The sequence below is a fragment of the Homo sapiens genome, chromosome 9 (assembly GCF_000001405.40).
Source record: "Homo sapiens chromosome 9, GRCh38.p14 Primary Assembly".
Taxonomy (NCBI): Eukaryota; Metazoa; Chordata; class Mammalia; order Primates; family Hominidae; genus Homo; species Homo sapiens.
This window is the reverse complement of record NC_000009.12, coordinates 96,595,507-96,614,362: the sequence shown is the minus strand read 5'-3', so window position 1 is coordinate 96,614,362 and position 18,856 is coordinate 96,595,507. Positions and strand designations below refer to the sequence as shown.

The 18,856-nt window shown below is 40.8% G+C and overlaps 1 protein-coding gene and 1 long non-coding RNA gene across 16 annotated transcripts in view, besides 1 other annotated feature; one reads left to right on the top strand and one right to left on the bottom strand.

Annotated features, from left to right (window-relative positions):
* CDC14B (cell division cycle 14B) overlaps positions 1–18,856 on the top strand; it is a 128,905-nt gene that overhangs the window by 5,481 nt on the left and 104,568 nt on the right. The gene's annotated exons all lie outside the window — the stretch shown is intronic.
* On the bottom strand, positions 2,193–14,746 carry LOC105376163 (uncharacterized). 2 transcript variants are annotated; one of them, XR_001746853.2, is made up of 4 exons: positions 14,659–14,746; positions 10,548–10,631; positions 8,976–9,065; positions 2,193–2,276 (listed from the first exon to the last, which is right to left on the bottom strand). It is a non-coding gene; the product is annotated as an uncharacterized LOC105376163 (long non-coding RNA). The 2 variants fall into 2 exon arrangements; XR_001746854.2 differs by lacking the exon at positions 14,659–14,746 and adding an exon at positions 12,010–12,078.
* Positions 11,470–11,670: a silencer, noted in NCBI's record as "peak7301 fragment used in MPRA reporter construct". NCBI's record gives its function as "represses an SCP1 promoter by STARR-seq MPRAs in K562 erythroleukemia cells {active_cell/tissue: K562}" and the evidence as "EXISTENCE:reporter gene assay evidence [ECO:0000049][PMID:32103011]".

Here is an 18,856-nt window from a genome sequence, read left to right as displayed (position 1 = left end):
GGCTGAGGTGGGAGAATCACTTGAGCCTGGGAGTTCAAGGCTGCAATGAGCTGTGTTCATTCCACAGCACTCTAGCCTGGGCAAAAGAGACATAGTGAAACTCCGTCTCAAAAAAAAAAAGAAAGAAAAGAAAAATTCTGATTAGTAAAGAATATTGGTAATAGCTACTGGCTAAAAGATTCTTGGTGGTTTGTGTTAAATTTCTTTACCTTTTTAAAAACAAGTTTTCGAGTGTCTGCCATGATCTAACTTTTAAAGACTGTCTGTATTATAATAGTAAATAATTTTATTGGAAAAACACTAATTGAGGTCAGGATTGCCATTTTAAAGCACTAATTAATGGTGATATATTGGATACTCATCAAATAAACAAATACAGCATTGTCTCCTCCCTCCTTCCTTTTTAAGATCTTTAAAATTCACAGCAGACATTAGACAGGGAAAATTTATTCATTAATTCAAGAAGTATTTATTGCATGCTTACTATGTAAAATAGTCATGCATATTCATTGCAGTGATGGAAGTATATTTTTCTTGATAGAAAAGGAATGCTGTTATGTAGAACACTGAGTCAAGGAAAAAAATTGCTTTTTCTTCAAGAGTTTTGTGTTATAGTAGATTATCCAGTTTCAGGAATTGAAGCCCATCATAGTGTGTAGTGTGCATTTTTCTTCTTGCCTATGTCTTGGTTCTCCTTTACTTACACTTAAATTTGTCTGTAATGTGAATTTGTTTTCTTGATTTCTATGCTTGCTTAATTCTTCAACATCTTCACTTCTGATATTCATGTTAGTTATCTGCTTTAAATCTAATTCCTCAGGCACTCCAACACCACGTGGAGGCAACAGTTTGACAGTTTCAAATGTCACTCCTTAAGTGGACATACAGAGTAGTTGGGCACAGACATGAATGGAAGGTGGAATAATTGTGTTGCAGAAATGGTACTGATGCCAGGGAGTTGCCAGTCAGTGCAAATTGTAATTGCTCTGTGCTTTTGAATGGGAAGGAATGTTCCCAGTTTCTGCTGGGGTTAGGAAGAGCTGGACTGAAACCACACTGTGGATTTTTAGGATGGAAGAAAGGCATTGATGCACACAAGTGACATTTCTTGGAAATTTCTGAGATAGTCTGTGGGAATCACTGAATTGATAGGACAGGGGAAAGAATTTCAAGAGATCAAAACCCTCCACATTCCCCTGTGAAGAAGCCAAAGGGCCAGAGATAAAATTGGGCCACAATGATGTAGTTTCTTTTTGGCAAAGCCATGACTACCTGACTTTTACTGTTGCCAGCAGATAAAGCTGCTTCACAGAGTTGTACATAAATGATTTATTGGATATCTCCTAGTTAGTCCTGTGCTACTTAGGCTAGGAGATGAATAATTACCTACTGAATTTGAGGAAAATGAGCAAAACAAGTACATCATTCAGGTCTTCTGCAGGTCATGCTGTTTTCCAAATTGACTGTCATTAACAGCCCCAGTTTTCCGGATATTTTATTCATTCAACAAATGCATAATGAATATGTGCAAATGAATACCTACTCTGCCAAGCTTTCTTCCCCTCAAGTGCTAAAAATAGAGCACTGCTAGAGATAGTCCCTGCTCTCATGGAGTTTATGTTTTCAGTGTTAATTGAGAAAATAACACTGGGAGGGTCTGAGGGAGAACTAGCATATAGAGTAACCATATCGCATATTGCGGTTGAAATCTTTAGGGAAGAAAAACTTTAATCAAAGAGTTTTTGAAGAGCCAATTCTATGAGGCCAGCTAAGCTAGCCACTAGGCATGAGGACACTGGGGAAACCTAGTCTCTGCCCCATCCCAGGGTTGAGCACAGACAGATTATTAGTAACCTTTTGGAGCCTCGATGCTTTCATCTGCCACAGATTTGTTGTGAGAATGAAATGAAGGGGATGCATATGAAGTGCCTGGCTTGATGCCCATTGATGGCCAGGGCTGCATCAGTGTTCTCTTGTGTCACACGCGTGACAGCAGCTGCGAGGACAAAGGGCAGGCTGAGGCACAGTCATCACGGCTGGAAGGGTTTCAAGCTAAGAAGCAAACATTCCCGTGTACTTGCACAAAAGGTTCAGTGAATCAGCACAGTGGAAATGCAGTGTGTTCCTCTGTCTGCTTCTGAGAGCGAGCTCAGGGCAGAAATGCTCCAGATGAGGCTGGCTCTGTATTTGTCAGAGCAGCGGAGGAGGTTTGGTGCCGTGGTGATCATCTTTTCTGCCTTGGGATAAATGTTAGAGTTTCTCTTTAGAAAGATTCCCTGTAAAAGGAGGAATAAACCAAAGCTGTTACTTCATTCTTGAGGCTATTGTTATGTATTTTTATTATACTGAAGACTTATATTGCCTAATATTAAATTGCAGCTAAGCTTATTGTTGGGGAGGTCTTCTTAAAGATGGGAGACCCCTCTACCATGGGAGAGCCTGAGGTAGAAAATAAAACAATATATGAAATTATTTACTGATAGAATATAAATTTTCAGAGTGGTTAATTTAAAAAATGCTCTTGTATATGTTTTAAAATAGTGTTTCACAGACGATTATCCAAAAGATTTGAAACTAATGGTGCATATTATTGGCAGACAGGGTCTTTTTTTGTTTTTTTGTTTGTAAAACAAATTGCTTTCAAAGGACCTTTCCATGCTTAATGTGTAGCAGAGAGACAAGTTATTTGGAAAGGTTGGGAATAGGATATAAAGAAGAAATGAGATCTTTAAATCTATTTTTTATTACCCTGGGAAAAATGAATTTTAGTAGCCAGTATTTTTTGTTTTCCTTCCCATCTTAGCTACTGAATATTTGTATAACCTAAGTAAATCCTTCACATTAACATTGTTATAAGGATCTGTAAGTTGACATGCAAACATGGACAGACCATCTGAACATCTCAAAGCCACGCCTCATCTAGATCAGGCATCTTTATGAATGAGGTAAGTAGGTGCGGAGTTGTTGAGGACAAATATGGAAGAGATTGTATTAGAGACAAACAGACTGGTTCGCAGGAACTAACTAATCTTCAAATATTGTTTCTTTCCACTATTTCATTTTTAGCTTCCAAAGTGAGTCATTTGATTTCTAGTGTTATAAGAAGAATTGACGTCCATATTAGGCAGGGATTACTTTTGAAAACATTTTCCAAAATTGATTGTAACCTTCCTAAACTCAAGGATATTGAACTGGAATGTGTAGATCTCATCTGGACTCTCTAGTTTATATGAAAGTTTTACGCCCTTTTCTCTCTCTCTTTTTTTTTTTTCTATAGCTTTTCATGGATACTGCTCCAACAAAGGTATTCAGATCATTGACTACTTTGCAGTTCTTTTATATGACTTTAAACTGTAGAATTTAATCTGTTAGTTGTCATTCTTGGTTCCGTCCTTTCCTGTTTGCTGGTCTTAATCTTAGGTAGCAGATTCAGTTTTCTGTAACTGTAGAGCAGCATTGGTATGTTTATGACTTAAGTTGAAATTTGTCTTTATATGAAAGGTTTTGTTGGTTTCTGTGATAGTTAATACTGAAAGTAGTTTCTGCGATATTTCATTGGATTAATATGAATGCCAGGTTTTGGGTGGTAGATATTTTTTGGTAATATTCAGTTTTTCTTTTTAAATTGAATTTCACTTTCATAGGCTCTTGTGGAAAGGGTACTCACAATGAGTTGTTATAACTATAACAGCTACTCCTGTTTTTTTTTTTTTGTGGTCATTTAGTTCTTTCTAGACATTTATTTGACTAATAGACAGATTTATATCCTATTTACTGAATTTGGCAAGAGGGAAATGTCATGAAATGCTAACTTGGGAAACAGGGAAGTGCTTCTATATTCTTTTTTTAATTTAAAAAGTATTCTTGCCGGGTGCGGTGGCTCACGCCTGTAATCCCAGCACTTTAGGAGGCCGAGGCGGGTGGATCACGAGGTCAGGAGATCAAGACCATCCTGGCTAACATGCTGAAACCCCATCACTACTAAAAATACAAAAAATTAGCCGGGCGTGGTGGCGGGCACCTGTAGTCCCAGATACTCAGGAGGCTGAGGCAGGAGAATGGCGTGAACCCCTGGGGGCAGAGCCTGCAGTGAGCTGAGATTGCGCCACTTCACTCCACCCTGGGTGACAGAGTGAGACTCCATCTCAAAAAATAAATAAATAAATAAATGAAGTATTCTTATTCACGTTGACTTTCAAATGCCTCAGATACGGGCAGTAAGCAAAAAACAAATCTGAATGGGTGTGTGTGTGTGTGTGTGTGTATCTATATATCTTTCCAATTTAAAACAATTCTAACTTTAATCTCTTGGTCTTTTATACAGCTTCTTTAATCTCAGCATTATTTATATTCTAGAGGAGCAGTTCTCTTAGAGAATGCTTCATTCACCAGTTGGCTCAAAAATTTGGTCCTATTCATTGTCTTTGAGTCTGAAAAGCTGAAGAAGCTAGGCTGGATAAATTAATTCTAGTTGCATAAGATCACATATCAACTTCATTTCTCAGGTAGTTCAGTTTTATACCATTAAAATTTGGTTGGCAGTGTACTTTTTACAAAATAAAAACATCTTGTTCCTGATGTCTGTGATATTTATTGTTCTTTCAAGTTCTCATTTGAAAGTAACATTACTTTCTTGGCACTGCTTTGCAATTTATGACATTGATCTTTTTATATCCAATCCATAATGCAATACTATCATTACAAATTCTGAATTCTGCAAAGCCTTCTCTCAATTTTAGGACCATCTCAGCTGAATCATTCTTTGCGTTTTGCTCATTTATTATCTATATTTATATGAATGGTGCTATGGAATTAATTAATGTATCCATTCAACAAGTATTTATTGAGTAACTACTTGAATTGGGCCAAGTGTTATTAAAGAATGGAGGGGCAAGGGATGTGAAGATTTATAACATGCCCCTTTTCCCTGAAGACTGAGAAAGAATACACTCTTAAATCATCATCTGAATGAAGACAGGTAATGAAAGAATTAGTCATTATGTAGTTTTGCTCTTTTCATCATTTAAATAGCATCAGTTTGAAAGAATTGTGTGTTGGAAATGTCACTCGATCATTCCTATACAAAATGAATAATTTGGTCTGGGCGCAGTGGCTCACGTCTGTAATCCCAGCACTTTGGGGATGCCATGGCAGGTGGATTACTGGAGGACAGGAATTCAAGGCCAGCCTGGTCAACATGGTGATACCCCATCTCTACTAAAAATACAAAATTAGCCAGGCGTGTTGGCATGCACCTGTAATCTCAGCTACTCAGGAGGCTGAGGCAGGAGAATCACTTGAACCAGAGGTTGCAGTGAGCAGAGATTGTGCCACTGCACTCCAGCCTGGGTGAAAGAGTGAGACTCCATCTCAAAAATATATATATATGAATAATTTTTCCAATGTCTGGTGAAAATCTGTCTTGTGTGTCTTTTCGTGTGTGTGTGTGTGTGTGTGTGTGTGTGTGTGTCTGTGTTTTAACCTTTAAACAACAGGGAATAGTGTCATTTTGGTATGTAACTGATCATATATAAGTATATGTTAATAATTCACCGAAAACCCTATCTCTATTAAAATACATCTAAAGGAAAAGGTCTACATTTCAATTAGTTCTATATCTCTAATTTGGATCTCTTGCTATCCCAGAGGATATAATTTAAAATAAGATTTCTTGTTTATTCTCGGTAAGAAGTAATTACAGAGCACCTTTAAGCTGAGTATTGCTTCTTAAATTGAAGGCACTAAAGATAAAGATTGCTAAATATTTCGGGAACTAGATTTAACTGTGTGACTTGAACTGAAAAGCATTCTAATTTTCCATTCTTTTATGGGTGCTGGGGAAGAACTGCTTTGACATGAATGTATAATAGAATTAAAATGTCGGTCTTAAATTTTGGGGAGTTGTTCTCAGTTTGCTCTTGGAATTTATTATTGTAATACTGTCATTAGATAGTTTGTTGGAAGCAGCTAATACGTGAAAGTGAAGCATCTTAATATGCATCTCTTTTCTTTCTGACAATGAACTGTCAAAAAAGCTTTGAGTTTATCTAACAAACACAGCTGAGGCTGGGATTTTAACTCCACTATTAATATATTCTAATTTTAAACTACTGTAACTGAAAGGGCATACAGCACTAATTCAATCCAGACATGTTTGAGTGCGTTTGATAGTCTCATCCTTGTAATAGCTGCTGAAAAAGATGTGGTAGAGATTTCAGACTGGACCACTGACGTCTGGGAATTGACACTAGCACACAGACTGGGTCAGGCAAGGTACAACCTGGTGCCGCCAGCTGTTTTGCATGGAAGACCTTATCTGTAAAACTCATAGAGAGTCAAACAAGATGTGTGCCTCTGAATGAATGGGATCCTTGGAAAGGAGTTTTAAAATAGGTTTTAAAGGTTTTCTATTTTCCCCTCCAGAACCAGCAGGAACTGTTCTGGATCACAGCAACACGAGTCTGCTTTCTGCTTCTTGGCAGAGCCGTTGCCCCTGTGGTGGCAGTTGTGTGGTGGGTGATAGCTGGGAGTGGGAATCGACTCTACTCCAGCATGAGGGAGAGATTCTTTTCCAACTTCCCCAGACCCGTCCCACATTGCTCGTGTATTCTGCCACTAACAAGAATGAAGACATCACATTGGCCGGGCGCGGTGGCTCACGCCTGTAATCCCAGCACTTTGGGAGGCCAAGGCGGGTGGATCACGAGGTCAGGAGATCGAGACCATCCTGGCTAACACAGGGAAACCCCGTCTCTACTAAAAATGCAAAAAAAAATTAGCCAGGCGTGGTGGCAGGCACCTGTAGTCCCAGCTACTCAGGCGGCTGAGGCAGGAGAATGGCGTGAACCCTGGAAGCGGAGCTTGCAGTGAGCCGAGATGGCACCACTGCACTCCAGCCTGGGCGACAGAGCGAGACTCTATCTTAAAAAAAAAAAAAAAAAAAAAAAAAGACATCACGTTTAACCTGAAGTGAATAACAGCTTTGCTCCAAAATGAAAAAAAAAAAAAATTTAATGAAATCTGTCTTACTGAGGAAGGCAGGAAAAGGAAGAAATACCTCAAAGCATCCCTTATCCATGGGGGCCTTTTCAGGTAGCATTGATCAGATTTTTAGAGCTTAAATTTATGGATTCAGAAGACAACCATTTCCTGCCACAGTGCTAATAGAATTTTTTCTTAATGTGAGAGTTTTGGGAATTTCCAAAATAAAGATATGTGGGATATTCTGAAAGCTAACCATTAAATTCCCAATAAACTCAGATTTTTTTTTGTTTTTTTTAATCAAAGCTCTGGATTAGGAATTCTTATTTAAATTTTTTTTTTTTTAAATTTTTTTGAGACACAGTCTTGCTCTCTTGGCCAAGCTGGAATGCAGTGACACAATCATAGCAGCCTCCATTTCCTGTGCTCGTGATCCTCCCACCTCAGCTTCCTGAGTAGCTGAGACTACAGGTGCACACCACCATGCCCAGCTAATTTTTAAAAAAATTATTAGTAGGCCAGGCACGGTGGCTCACGCCTGTAATCCCAGCACTTTGGGAGGCTGAGGCAGGCAAATCATCTGAGATCGAGAGTTCGAGACCAGTCTGACCAACATGGAGAAACCCCATCTCTACTAAAAATACAAAATTAGCCGGGCGTGGTGGCGTGTGCCTGTAATCCCAGCTCCTTGGGAGGCTGAGGCAGGAGAATCGCTTGAACCCGGGAGGTAGAGGTTGCGTTGAGCTGAGATCACACCATTGCACTCCAGCCTGGGCAACAAGTGTGAAACACCATCTCCAGAAACACACACACACACACACACACACACACACACACACACACACACACACACAAACTTTTAGTAGAGATGAGATCTCATTCTGTTGCCCAGGCTGGTCTAGAACTCCTGGGCTCAAGCTGTCCTCCTGCCCAGGCTTCCCAAAGTACTTGGATTACAAGCATGAGCACTGCACCTGGCTGGAACTCTTAGTTTAAAATGATTTCAGAGAACAAATAATATTCTTTTTTTTTTTTTTTTTTTTTTTTTTGAGATGGAGTCTTGCCCTGTTCCCCAGGCTGGAGTGCAGTTGTGCGATCTTGGCTCACTGCAGCCTCTGCCTCCTGGGTTCAAGTGATTCTCCTGCCTCAGCCTCCCGAGTAGCTGGGACTACAGGCACACATCACCACACCCGCTTATTTTTGTATTTTTAGTTGAAATGGGGTTTTGCCATGTAGGCCAGGCTGGTCTCGAACTTCTGACCTCAGGTGATCTGCCCACCTGAGCCTCCCAAAGTGCTGGGATTACAGGCATGAGCCACCATTCCCGGGCAGCAAATATTATTTTAATATAGAGACTTATGAATATAAATATTAAGTTTTGTTGTTTAATGCTATAAAAGCTATTTTTTAGAAAAAGCCAATTTTTTGTGTACCTGTTACACATCCCATTGAACATAACACCATCATGCAGTGCTGCTTCGTTGTAACTATTTGTCTTTGAAAAAAACAATTTTTTTTTTGAGGCAAAATTTCGCTCTTGTTGCACAGGCTGGAGTGCAGTGGCTTAATCTTGGCTCGCTGCAACCTCCACCTCCCGGGTTCAAACGATTCTCCAGCCTCAGCCTCCCTAAGTGCTGAGATTACAGGCATGAGCCCCTGCCCCTGGCCCTTAAAATATTTTACTAAAACTAAGTAGGCATATATATGTCTGCAGTCAGTGTCTTGCTTTGCATTCCCCAGAACAGATGCTGAGTCAAGGATCCAGTGAAAGTACTTCCTTTGGGAAATGATCCCAGGAAGCACTCACAGGGGAGTGGGGAAGTGAGATGGTAAGGAAAGGCAAGCCACAAATAGCTCATTATCAGGCAGGTTACTACTGTGGGAATGGAGTTAGAGGCCGCAGGGGAACCCTGGGAGCCAGTATAGGACACACGCTGCAGAGTTTTCCTCACTGAGGGTTGAGGGCGTGGGATATTTATATGCCAGTCACTTACCCCTGCTTGTGTCTTGCTGGGGAGTGGGGAATGATCATTTTCAAGTCCTATGACAGTAGGCAAAATGGACTCTTTAGGCCAGAGAAAGCCCTGAAAGAAATAGTGGTACAATTGGAAATTGGAAATTGTGCTGAAAATGGGAAGGGGATATGGCTGGTTCTTAACAGCGCCTGCTGCATTCCATTACGTTATTGTTATTTTTTTTTTCCTCTGTGCTCTTAGTGCTATTATTGTAAGTTCTTAGCTGGTTCCCTCTCAACCATTATCCTTAAATTGAATGTGTTATTGTCACTATGTTGTGTCCTGGTAGGGCATTTTTGACAGTGAATGTTGAGAAAGCATATGCATGTGACAGGGCGGATTTGTTAGAAGCAGTGGAAAGGTGAGTACTAAACTGGGTGTTTAAAATGCAAGCTTCAGCTGGGCACAGTGGCTCACACCTGTAATCCCAGCACTTTGGGAGGCAGAGGCGGGTAGATCACCTGAGGTCAGGAGTTCAAGACCAGCCTGGCCAACATGGTGAAACCCCCTCTCTACTAAAATACAAAAAAAGTAGCTGGGCATGGTGGTGCATGCCTATAATCCCAGCTACTTGAGAGGCTGAGGCAGGAGAATCGCTTGAACCCAGGAGGCTGAAGTTGCAGTGAGCCAAGATCGTGCCACTACACTCCAGCCTGGGGGACAGAGCAAGACTCTGTCCCCCTCCTGCCCCGCCCCCCGCAAAAAAAAAGGCCAGGTGTGGTGGCTCATGCCTGTAAGGCAGGTGGATTACGTGAGGTCGGGAGTTTGAGACCAGCCTGATCAACATGGAGAAACCCTGTCTCTACTAAAAATACAAAATTAGCCGGGCGTGGTGGCGCATGCCTGTAATCCCAGCTACTCGGGAGGCTGAGGCAGGAGAATCGCTTGATCCCGGGAGGCGGAGGTTGTGGTGAGCCAAGATGGCACCATTGCACTCCAGCCTGGGCAACAAGAGGGAAACTCTGTCTCAAAATAATAATAATAATAATAATAATAATAATAATAATAATAATAATAATAATAAATGCAAGCTTCACGAGGCCTTTTCAAGGAAATGTTTAAGGAAACCAGGTAAAGATAAGTATGCAATTAAGGACTTGGAAGTTGTGTGATTTTTATGAAAGGCTTTATAAACATCACTGTAGCTTGGAAGTTTGACTAACAGTTGTGTAACTAGAATTATGGCCAGTGACAGGTCCTGACTTCGGTGAATGTGGAGTGACTGGAAGAGCTGAGCCATTGCCAGTGTAGCATGCCAGGAATGGATCTCCACAGAGACTGTGGATTCCGTTCAAGTTCCATTTCCAGGAACTCCTCGTCCTTAGCTAGACAGAGTGTGTGCCTGTAAAGTCAACCACTTTAAGTCTTTTATTTCGAATAAGGGAAGATAACAAATACTTTGGCACTCTTGGGAATGTTTCAAGGTGGATCTACTGGTTTAATTGTTCCAGGGTTTCTAATCTGTGTGTCACATGCTTACACGAAGCTAGGCAATAGGGAGATCACAGGTTACCGCATGTGATGTCACTCAGTGCTGTTTACTATCGGTACCTTTTTGGATGCTTTCCTCTCTTTATTAAAATCTTGCGCAGTGTCTTTTCATTTTTTCTTCAGAGGTAATTCAGTCTGTTCTTACTGGAGGGGAAAAATAAGTCATAGTGCTAATCTTGTAAGAAGTGGAATTTAACATGCTCAAGCTTTCACATGGGATCAAGATTCAATAATAAAAGCCTTGACGTTGGAAGCTTAATAGTTTTAGAAATAATTTTTCTGCAGTTTCTCGAATGTCAGTGGGCAGCATTTAGAATGTGTTTGACTAAGTAGTGCTGGTCTTCCTCCCCTTTAAGCCTGCACTTGTGGTACAGCCAGGTTTCTAGTTTCATGACGCATTTATCATTGGCCTATGCCTGGCCCTTGGTTAGGCTTCCTGTATTTTTCAAATGTGGCCAACTAGACAGCATTATACCTCTTCACCTAGAGTTGCTTTCTTTTTTTTAAGTTTTTCATTTTATTTTGTTTATTTTTTAATAGGTAATATATGCATGTAGGTTCAAAATTCAAAAGATAACAAAAGAGTAAACAACATAGACTAAGGCACTTTCCTGTTTTCCCTCCCCATAATCTGTCAATATTACTAACCTCTTGTGTGTCTTACCAGAGATGTTTTGTGTATTTGTGTGTGTGTGTGTGTGTGTGTGTGTGTGTGTGTGTCCGTTTCTATCACCTCAAATGACACCACATTATTCTCATTGTTCTGCATCTTGTTTTTTTTCACTGCTCTTAGGTTACTCAATGAGCACAGAATTGGAACAAAGGGAGATGGAAGATCTTAACGGATGGTTAAGCTTCTGGTTTCCATCCAGTAGCTGGCTGGAAGCTGATGGTTTCAAGCTTCTCTAAGTCGAGATGTGGTGATAATAGCCTTGGTGTAGTTACTGTCTCTTCAGTGCTAAGGCTCCTGCTAAACCTGCGTCTCTCCCCAGCCCACAAATAAAGTTTCTATGATATAGGTGCTCATTACTTTTAAAAAAAGAACGCAGAGAGAGAGAAAAAAAATCATCAGTGATCCTAATAGCAAAGAATAGCTAATTCCATTAGTTAGGTTAGACTTGGTTGTGTGGTGATATAGTTTGGCTGTGTCCCCACCCAAATCTCATGAATTGTAGCTCCCACATTCCCATGTGTAGTGGGAGGGACGCTGGTGAGAGGTAATTGAATCATGGGGGCAGGTCTTTCCTGTGCTGTTCTCATGATAGTGAATAAGTCTCATGAGATCTGATGGTTTTATAAAGGGGAGTTTCCCTGCACAAGTTCTCTTCTCTTGTCTGCTGCTGTGTGAGATGTTCTGCCATGATCATGAGGCCTTCCCAGCCACGTGGAACTCTGAGTCTGTTAAACCTCTTTTGTAAATTGCCCAGTTTCGGGGATGTCCTTATCAGCAGCGTGAAAACGGACTAACATATGTGGTAATAAAAAATAAGACCCCCAAATCTCAGCAGCTGAAAATACAGACGTAATTCTTTTTTGCAGAGGTGCTGTGCTTCAGCAGGGAACTGTGCTTGTTGTGACTGCTTGGGGACATGGGCTGATGAGCAGCATCTTCTCAGTATTGCTGGTCCCTGTGCAGAGGGAAAAGAGCTGTGGAAGGTCTGGAATTAACATTTAGATGCCTTTTTCCACTCATAGCTCACAGGCCAGAAGTAATCAAATGGTTCCATCCAACAGGCCAGAAATATTTGGTGAACAGCACTAATGACTACCACAGTTAGTTTTTGTTTTGTTTTGTTTTTGTTTTTGTTTTTGTTTTTGAGACTGAGTCTCGCTCTGTCGTCCAGGCTGGAGTGCAGTGGCGCGATCCTGGCTCACTGAAAGCTCCGCCTCCTGGGTTCACGCCATTCTCCTGCCTCAGCCTCCTGAGTAGCTGGGGTTACAGGCACCCACCACCATGCCCAGCTAATTTTTTGTATTTTTAGTGGAGATGGGATTTCACTGTGTTAGCCAGGATGGTCTCGATCTCCTGACCTTGTGATCAGCCCACCTCGGCCTCCCAATTTTTTTTTTTTTTTTTTTTTCGAGACAGCGTCTTGCTCTGTCGCCCAGGCTGGAGTGCAGTGGTGCGCCCTCAGCTCACTGCAAACCCCCACCTCCTGGGTTCAAGTGATTCTCCTGCCTCAGCTTCCCGAGTAGCTGGGACTGCAGGCGCCTGCCACCACACCCGGCTAATTTTTGTAGTTTTAGTAGATGGGGTTTCACCATGTTGCCCAGGCTGGTCTCAAACTCCTGACCTCAAGTGATCTGCCGCCTCGGCCTCCCAAAGTGCTGGGTTTACTACAGGTGTGCCACGCCCGGCCCTTTTGTAAGTTTTTTTTTTGAGATGGAGTCTCTTTCTGTCACCAGGCTGGAGTGCAGTGGTGCAATCTTGGCTCACTGCAACCTCTGCCTCCCGGGTTCAAGCAATTCTCCTGCCTCAGCCTCCCAAGTAGCTGGGACTACAGGCGCACACCACCATGCCCAACTAATTTTTCTATTTTTAGTAGAGACGGAGTTTCACCATGTTGGCCAGGATGGTCTCAATCTCTTGACCTCATGATCCGCCTGCCTTGGCCTCACAAAGTGCTGGGATTACAGGTGTGAGCCACCACACCTGGCCCCACAGTTAGGTTTTTAGATTGTTCAGAGCATGTTTAGATACACAGATATGTCTATAGAGAAATACACTTTTTTTTTTGAGAGGGAGTCTTGCTATGTCGCATATACTTTCACATCAACAAGATAAATATTCCAAGTACTATCATATCATTAGTTTCTTCCTATTTCATATAATGTAGTGGAATATTTTATTGTCATAAACACTTCTAAACATGGATATCTTTTTTTAGTGGATGCATACTGTTCCATTATATGGTTGCATAATAATCTGTTTCCTTATGTATCCTCTACTGAGAAAAATGTACATAAATTCATTTGCATAACATTGGGTAGAGAATTTTAGGAGTTGTGGACACCATCCCTAGCCAAGCCATGGATTGCTGTTATAGTTTATAGGTTATAAACACAAACGCTAGGCCGGGTGCGGTGGCTCACACCTGTAATCCCAGCACTTTGGGAAGCTGAGGCAGGTGGATCACTTGAGGTCAGGAGTTTGAGACCAGCCTGGCCAATATGGTAAAACTCTGTCTCTACTAAAAATACAAAAATTAGCCGGGCTTGGTGGCGCACACCTGTTATCCCAGCTGCTCAGGAGGCTGAGGCCGGAGAATCGCTCGAACTCAGGAGGTGGAGGTTGCAGTGAGCCAAGATCGCACCATTGCACTCCAGCCTGGGCAACAGAGTTAGACCCCATCTCAAAAAAAAAAACCACAAGCTCTATTTAGAATACTCTCTCCTTATCCCATTAATCTCCCTCACAAAAGTGTAATAACTTTTTACACTTGATATTTTGGTAGGTAAATAAATTCACATGGTTCTGAGAATAAGTATAAAGTGAAGAGCCTCTCATCAGCCCCTCCTTGCCCTCATCTGTCCAGTTCTTCTTACCCCTGCTATCCCTCACAGATTTTAATTTCTCATTTCCCTCCAGAATTTTTTTAAAAAATGTATTTGCATAAAATATATATATATATATAATTTTTTTGGTAGAGATGGGCTCTTGTTATGTTGTGCAGGCTGGTCTCAAACTTCTGGCCTCAAGTGATTCTCCCACCTCGGCCTACCAAAGTGCTGGGATTACAGGCGAGAGCCATCATGCTCAGCCAAGATTCTTTAAAAAGTTATTATTTTACCCTTTTTATTTTGGAATAAAATTGGATTTATAGAAAAGTTACATTTAGAAATAACGGCCAGGTATGGTGGCTCATGCCTGTAATCCCAGCACTTTGGGATGCCAAGGTGGATGGATCACGAGGTCAAGAGATTGAGAGCATCCTGGCCAACGTGGTGAAACCCCGTTTCTACTGAAAATACAAAAATTAGTTGGGTGTGGTGGCATGCGCCTGTAGTCCCAGCTACTTGGGAGGGTGAGGCAGGAGAATCGCTTGAACCTGGGAGGTGGAAGTTGCAGTGAGCTGCGCCACTGCACTCCAGCCTGGTGACAAAGTGAGAATCCGTCTCAAAAAAAAAAGAAAACAAAAGAAAAGTTACAGAAATAATACAGAGAGCTCACCCGGTTTCCTGAAATGAAAGCATCTTATGTTGCCGTAGCATGTTTATCACCACTAAGAAGCTAACATCATTGTGAATTATTAACTAAACTTCAGATTTTATTTGGATTTCCCCAGGTTTTTCATTAGTATCTTTGTTCTGTTCAGGATACAGTCCAGGACACTACATTGCATTAAACAGATTCTCTTTGAATTGAGAGATAGCATGTGCTCCATGTGGTTCTGCATTTAGTGTTCTCAACTGATGATGTCATAATTCATTGATTTCAAAATCCAATGGAATGTAACTATTATTTTTGAGTACTTCTTCTCCTTTTTTTTTTTTTAAACGGAGTTTCACTCTTGTTGCCCAGGCTGGAGTGCAATGGCGAGATCTCGGCTCACTGCAACCTCCGCCTCCTGGGTTCAAGTGATTCTCCTGCCTCAGCTTCCCGAGTAGCTGGGATTACAGGCACCCATCATGATGCCTGGCTAATTTTTTGTATTTTTAATAGAGATGGGGTTTTGCCATGTTGGCCAAGTTGGTCTTGAACTCCTGACCTCAGGTGATCCGCCCACCTTGGCCTCCCAAAGTGCTGGGATTACAGGTGTGAGCCACCACACCCGGCTCTAAGTACTTCTAAGAAAGGAAAAATGCTGCCAATTATAATTGTAAGTTACTAATTATAAGATACGGCATAATTTCAGAGATGTTCAAATGTGAGAAAAGTACATTTTAGATTTAATGGAATATGATACATCTTGGAAAGATTTCAACTTTATTTCACAGAATTTTCTCATTCTTTTTGTACCTACATAGAATTTCACTTTATAATATACAAAAGATCTTTAAGCAAGCCCTTATTGATACTCATGTGGATTGTTTTCTGTCTTTAGGTATTAAAATGCTGTATTCAATAATTTGGGACATATATGTCATTTCACATATATACAGATGTGTATCAGGGTGACATTCCAAAAGTGCACTGCTGAGTTAGAGGTATATGTATTTGTAATTTTGATGGAAGCTTTACCAATTTACAGTCCCACTAGCAATGTATGAGAATAGTTTTTTTTAATGACTTCACAAATAGGCCGGGCACAGTGGCTCACACCTATAATCCCAGCACTTTGGGAGGCCGAGGCAGGTGGATCACAAGGTCAGGAGTTCAAAACCAGCCTGGCCAAGATGGTGAAACCCTGTCTCTACTGAAAATACAAAAATTAGCTGGGTGTAGTGGCAGGCGCCTGTAATCCCAGCTACTGGGGAGGCTGAGGCAGGCGAATGACATGAACCCAGGAGGTGGAGCTTGCAATGAGCCAAGATCGTGCCACTGCACTCCAGCCTGGGTGACAGAGCGAGACTCCATCTCAAAAAAACAAAAAACAAACAAAAAACACTTCACAAATAAAGTAGGTTACCAAACTTTTAGATTTTTGCCAATCTAATGTTTGGAAAATTATAGTCTCAATGTAGTTTTCATTTGTATTTCTCTTATGAGTATAGGTTGAGTTTCTGAAAACTGGCCATAAATATTCTTTGCACATTTTTCTATTGGGCTGTTTCCAATTTTTATGCATTAGGCTCTTTCAGTATTAGTGACATTATTATCTGTGATGAATTACAAATGTATTTTCTTTTTGTCGTTTACCTTTTGATTTGCTTATACTTGATTAGTGCTTTGTGTTTGCCACACAAAGTTTATAGCTGACTCTGTTAATCTTTTCTATTATGGCTTCGGGATTTTAAGTCATAATTGTACTCAAGAAATTTATTAAGGAGTTCCTCTATGTTTTCTTCCATTTCTCCCATCCTAGCCTTTATGCTATTGTCCTTATGAATTTTACTTTTACATATATTATAAATCCTGTTACTTTTGTTAATTTTGTCAAAATAATCATCTTTTAAAGCAACTTAAATGAGGACAGTAAACTCTTAAACATTTCTCCATGTAGTAGTTAGCATTTCTAGGGCCATTCATTCCATTGTATAAATACAGATTTCCAACTGGCATTTTCCTTCTACCTGGAAGATATCTTTTAACATTTTTTATAGTGTAGATCTGCTAGTGATAAACTCTTTCATCTTCTGAATGTCTAAAAATGTCTTCATTGTGCCTTTGTTTTTGAAGATTTTGCTTAATGTTGAACTCTAGGTTGACATTTTTCATTTTTTTTCTTTGAATACTTTAAAGATGTTTCTCTTCTGTCTTTTTTTTTTTTTTTCTTTTTTGGAAACAAGGTCTTTCTTTGTTACCCAGGCTGGAGCGCAATGACACAATCTCGGCTCACTGCAACCTCCGCCTCCTGGGTTCAAGCGTTTCTCCTGCCTCAGCCTCCTGAGTAGCTGGGATCACAGGCGCATGCCACCATGCTCGGCTAATTTTTGTATTTTTAGTAGAGACGGGGTTTCACCATGTTGGCCAGGCTCATCTCGAACTCCTGACCTCAGGTGATCCACCTGCCTCGGCCTCCCAAAGTACCGGGATTACAGGCGTGAGCCACTGCGCCTGGCCCTCTCCTGTCTTATCACTTGAATTGGTAGCAACAATAAATCTGATAGCCTTCTTTGCTTCCCTGTGTGTAATATTTCTTTTTTCTCTGGCTGCTTTTAAGATTTTCTCTTGTTGGCTTTGAACAGTTTATGATGTGCATTGGTGTGGTTTTCTTTATGTTTCGTGTGCTTGAGATTGGTTGAACTTCTTGGATCTGTGTGCTTACAGAATTCATCAGTTTAGAAAGCTCTCAGCCATTACTTATGTAAATATTTTTTCTGCCTCCTTCTCCTTAACATATAATTATCTGCTTATTAGACCATTTTATGTTGTTGTATAGCTCACTCTTACACTTTTTTTTTTTTTTTTAAAGATAGAGAAGGTCTCCATCTGCCGTCCAGGCTGGAGTGTAGTGGCGTGATCATAGCCCACTGCAGCCTTGACCTCCTGGATTCAAGTGATCCGCCCACCTCAGCCTCCTGTAGCTGGGACTACAGGCACATGCCACTACTCTTGGCTAATTTTTGTATTTTTTGTAGAGACAGGATTTTACAATCTTATCCAGGCTGGTCTCCAACTTCCGGGCCCAAGCAATCCCCCCTCCTTGGCCTCCTAAAATGCTGGGATTGTAGGAGTGAGCCACTATGCCTGCCCTTCATTTTTTTGTATTGTTTTCCCTTCTCTTTTCATTTGTAGAGTTTCTAATGCTGTGCCTTCAGGTTCACTAATCTTTTCTTATGTCTTATCTGCCATTAGTCCTATCCAGTGTATTTTTCATCTCATAATTGTAGTTTTTATCTTCAGAAAAGTTCAGTTTGGGCCATTTTTATATCTTTCATGTCTTTTTGTGTGTTTTTTTTTTTTTTTTGAGATGGAGTCTTGCACTGTCTCCCAGCAGGCTGGTGTGTCGTAGCACAATCTCGGCTCACTATGACCTCTGCCTCCCGGGTTCAAGCAATTCTCCTGTCTCAGCCTCCTGAGTAGCTGGAACTACAGGTCCGTGCCACCATGCCCGGCTAATTTTTATATTTTTAGTAGAGACAGGGTTTCACCATGTTGGCCAGGCTAGTCTCAAACTCCTGACCTCATGATCTGCCCCCCTCAGCCTCCCAAAGTGCTGGGATTACAGGTATGAGCCATCATGCCCAGCCTTTTTTCTTTTCTTTTCTTTTTAAATAACAGCTCTAATTCACATATCATGCAGTTCACCAACTTAAAATGTGTATTTCAATGGTGTGTTTGTTGAAAGTTATATTTTATATAGTATTCAAATGTCAATTATTTAACTTTAAATATTTTTAAAGCTTTTTTAAATAAATGGAGTATTTGTAGAGTTGTGTACCTGTTACCATGATCTGATTTTAATATATTTTCATTATCCCCTCAAAAATGCTCATACCCAATGGCAGCTATTCCCTTCCCCTCACCTCTCCCAGCCAGGCGCAACTACGAATCTACTTTCTCTCACTACTTATTTCCTATTTTGAATATTTCATATAAATGAGATCGTACTATTTGTGTTCTTTTATGCCTGGTTTCTTTTCATACAGCATGTTTGTGAGGTCCACCTATTTTATAGTATGTATCAGTACGTATTCCATTTTATGGCTGAATATTGCATTGTATGACGGTATCATATTTTGTTTACCAGTTGATGCACATTCAAGTTGTTTCTCCTTTTAGGCTATTATGAATAGTGCTGTTAAGAACATTCACGTACAAGTTT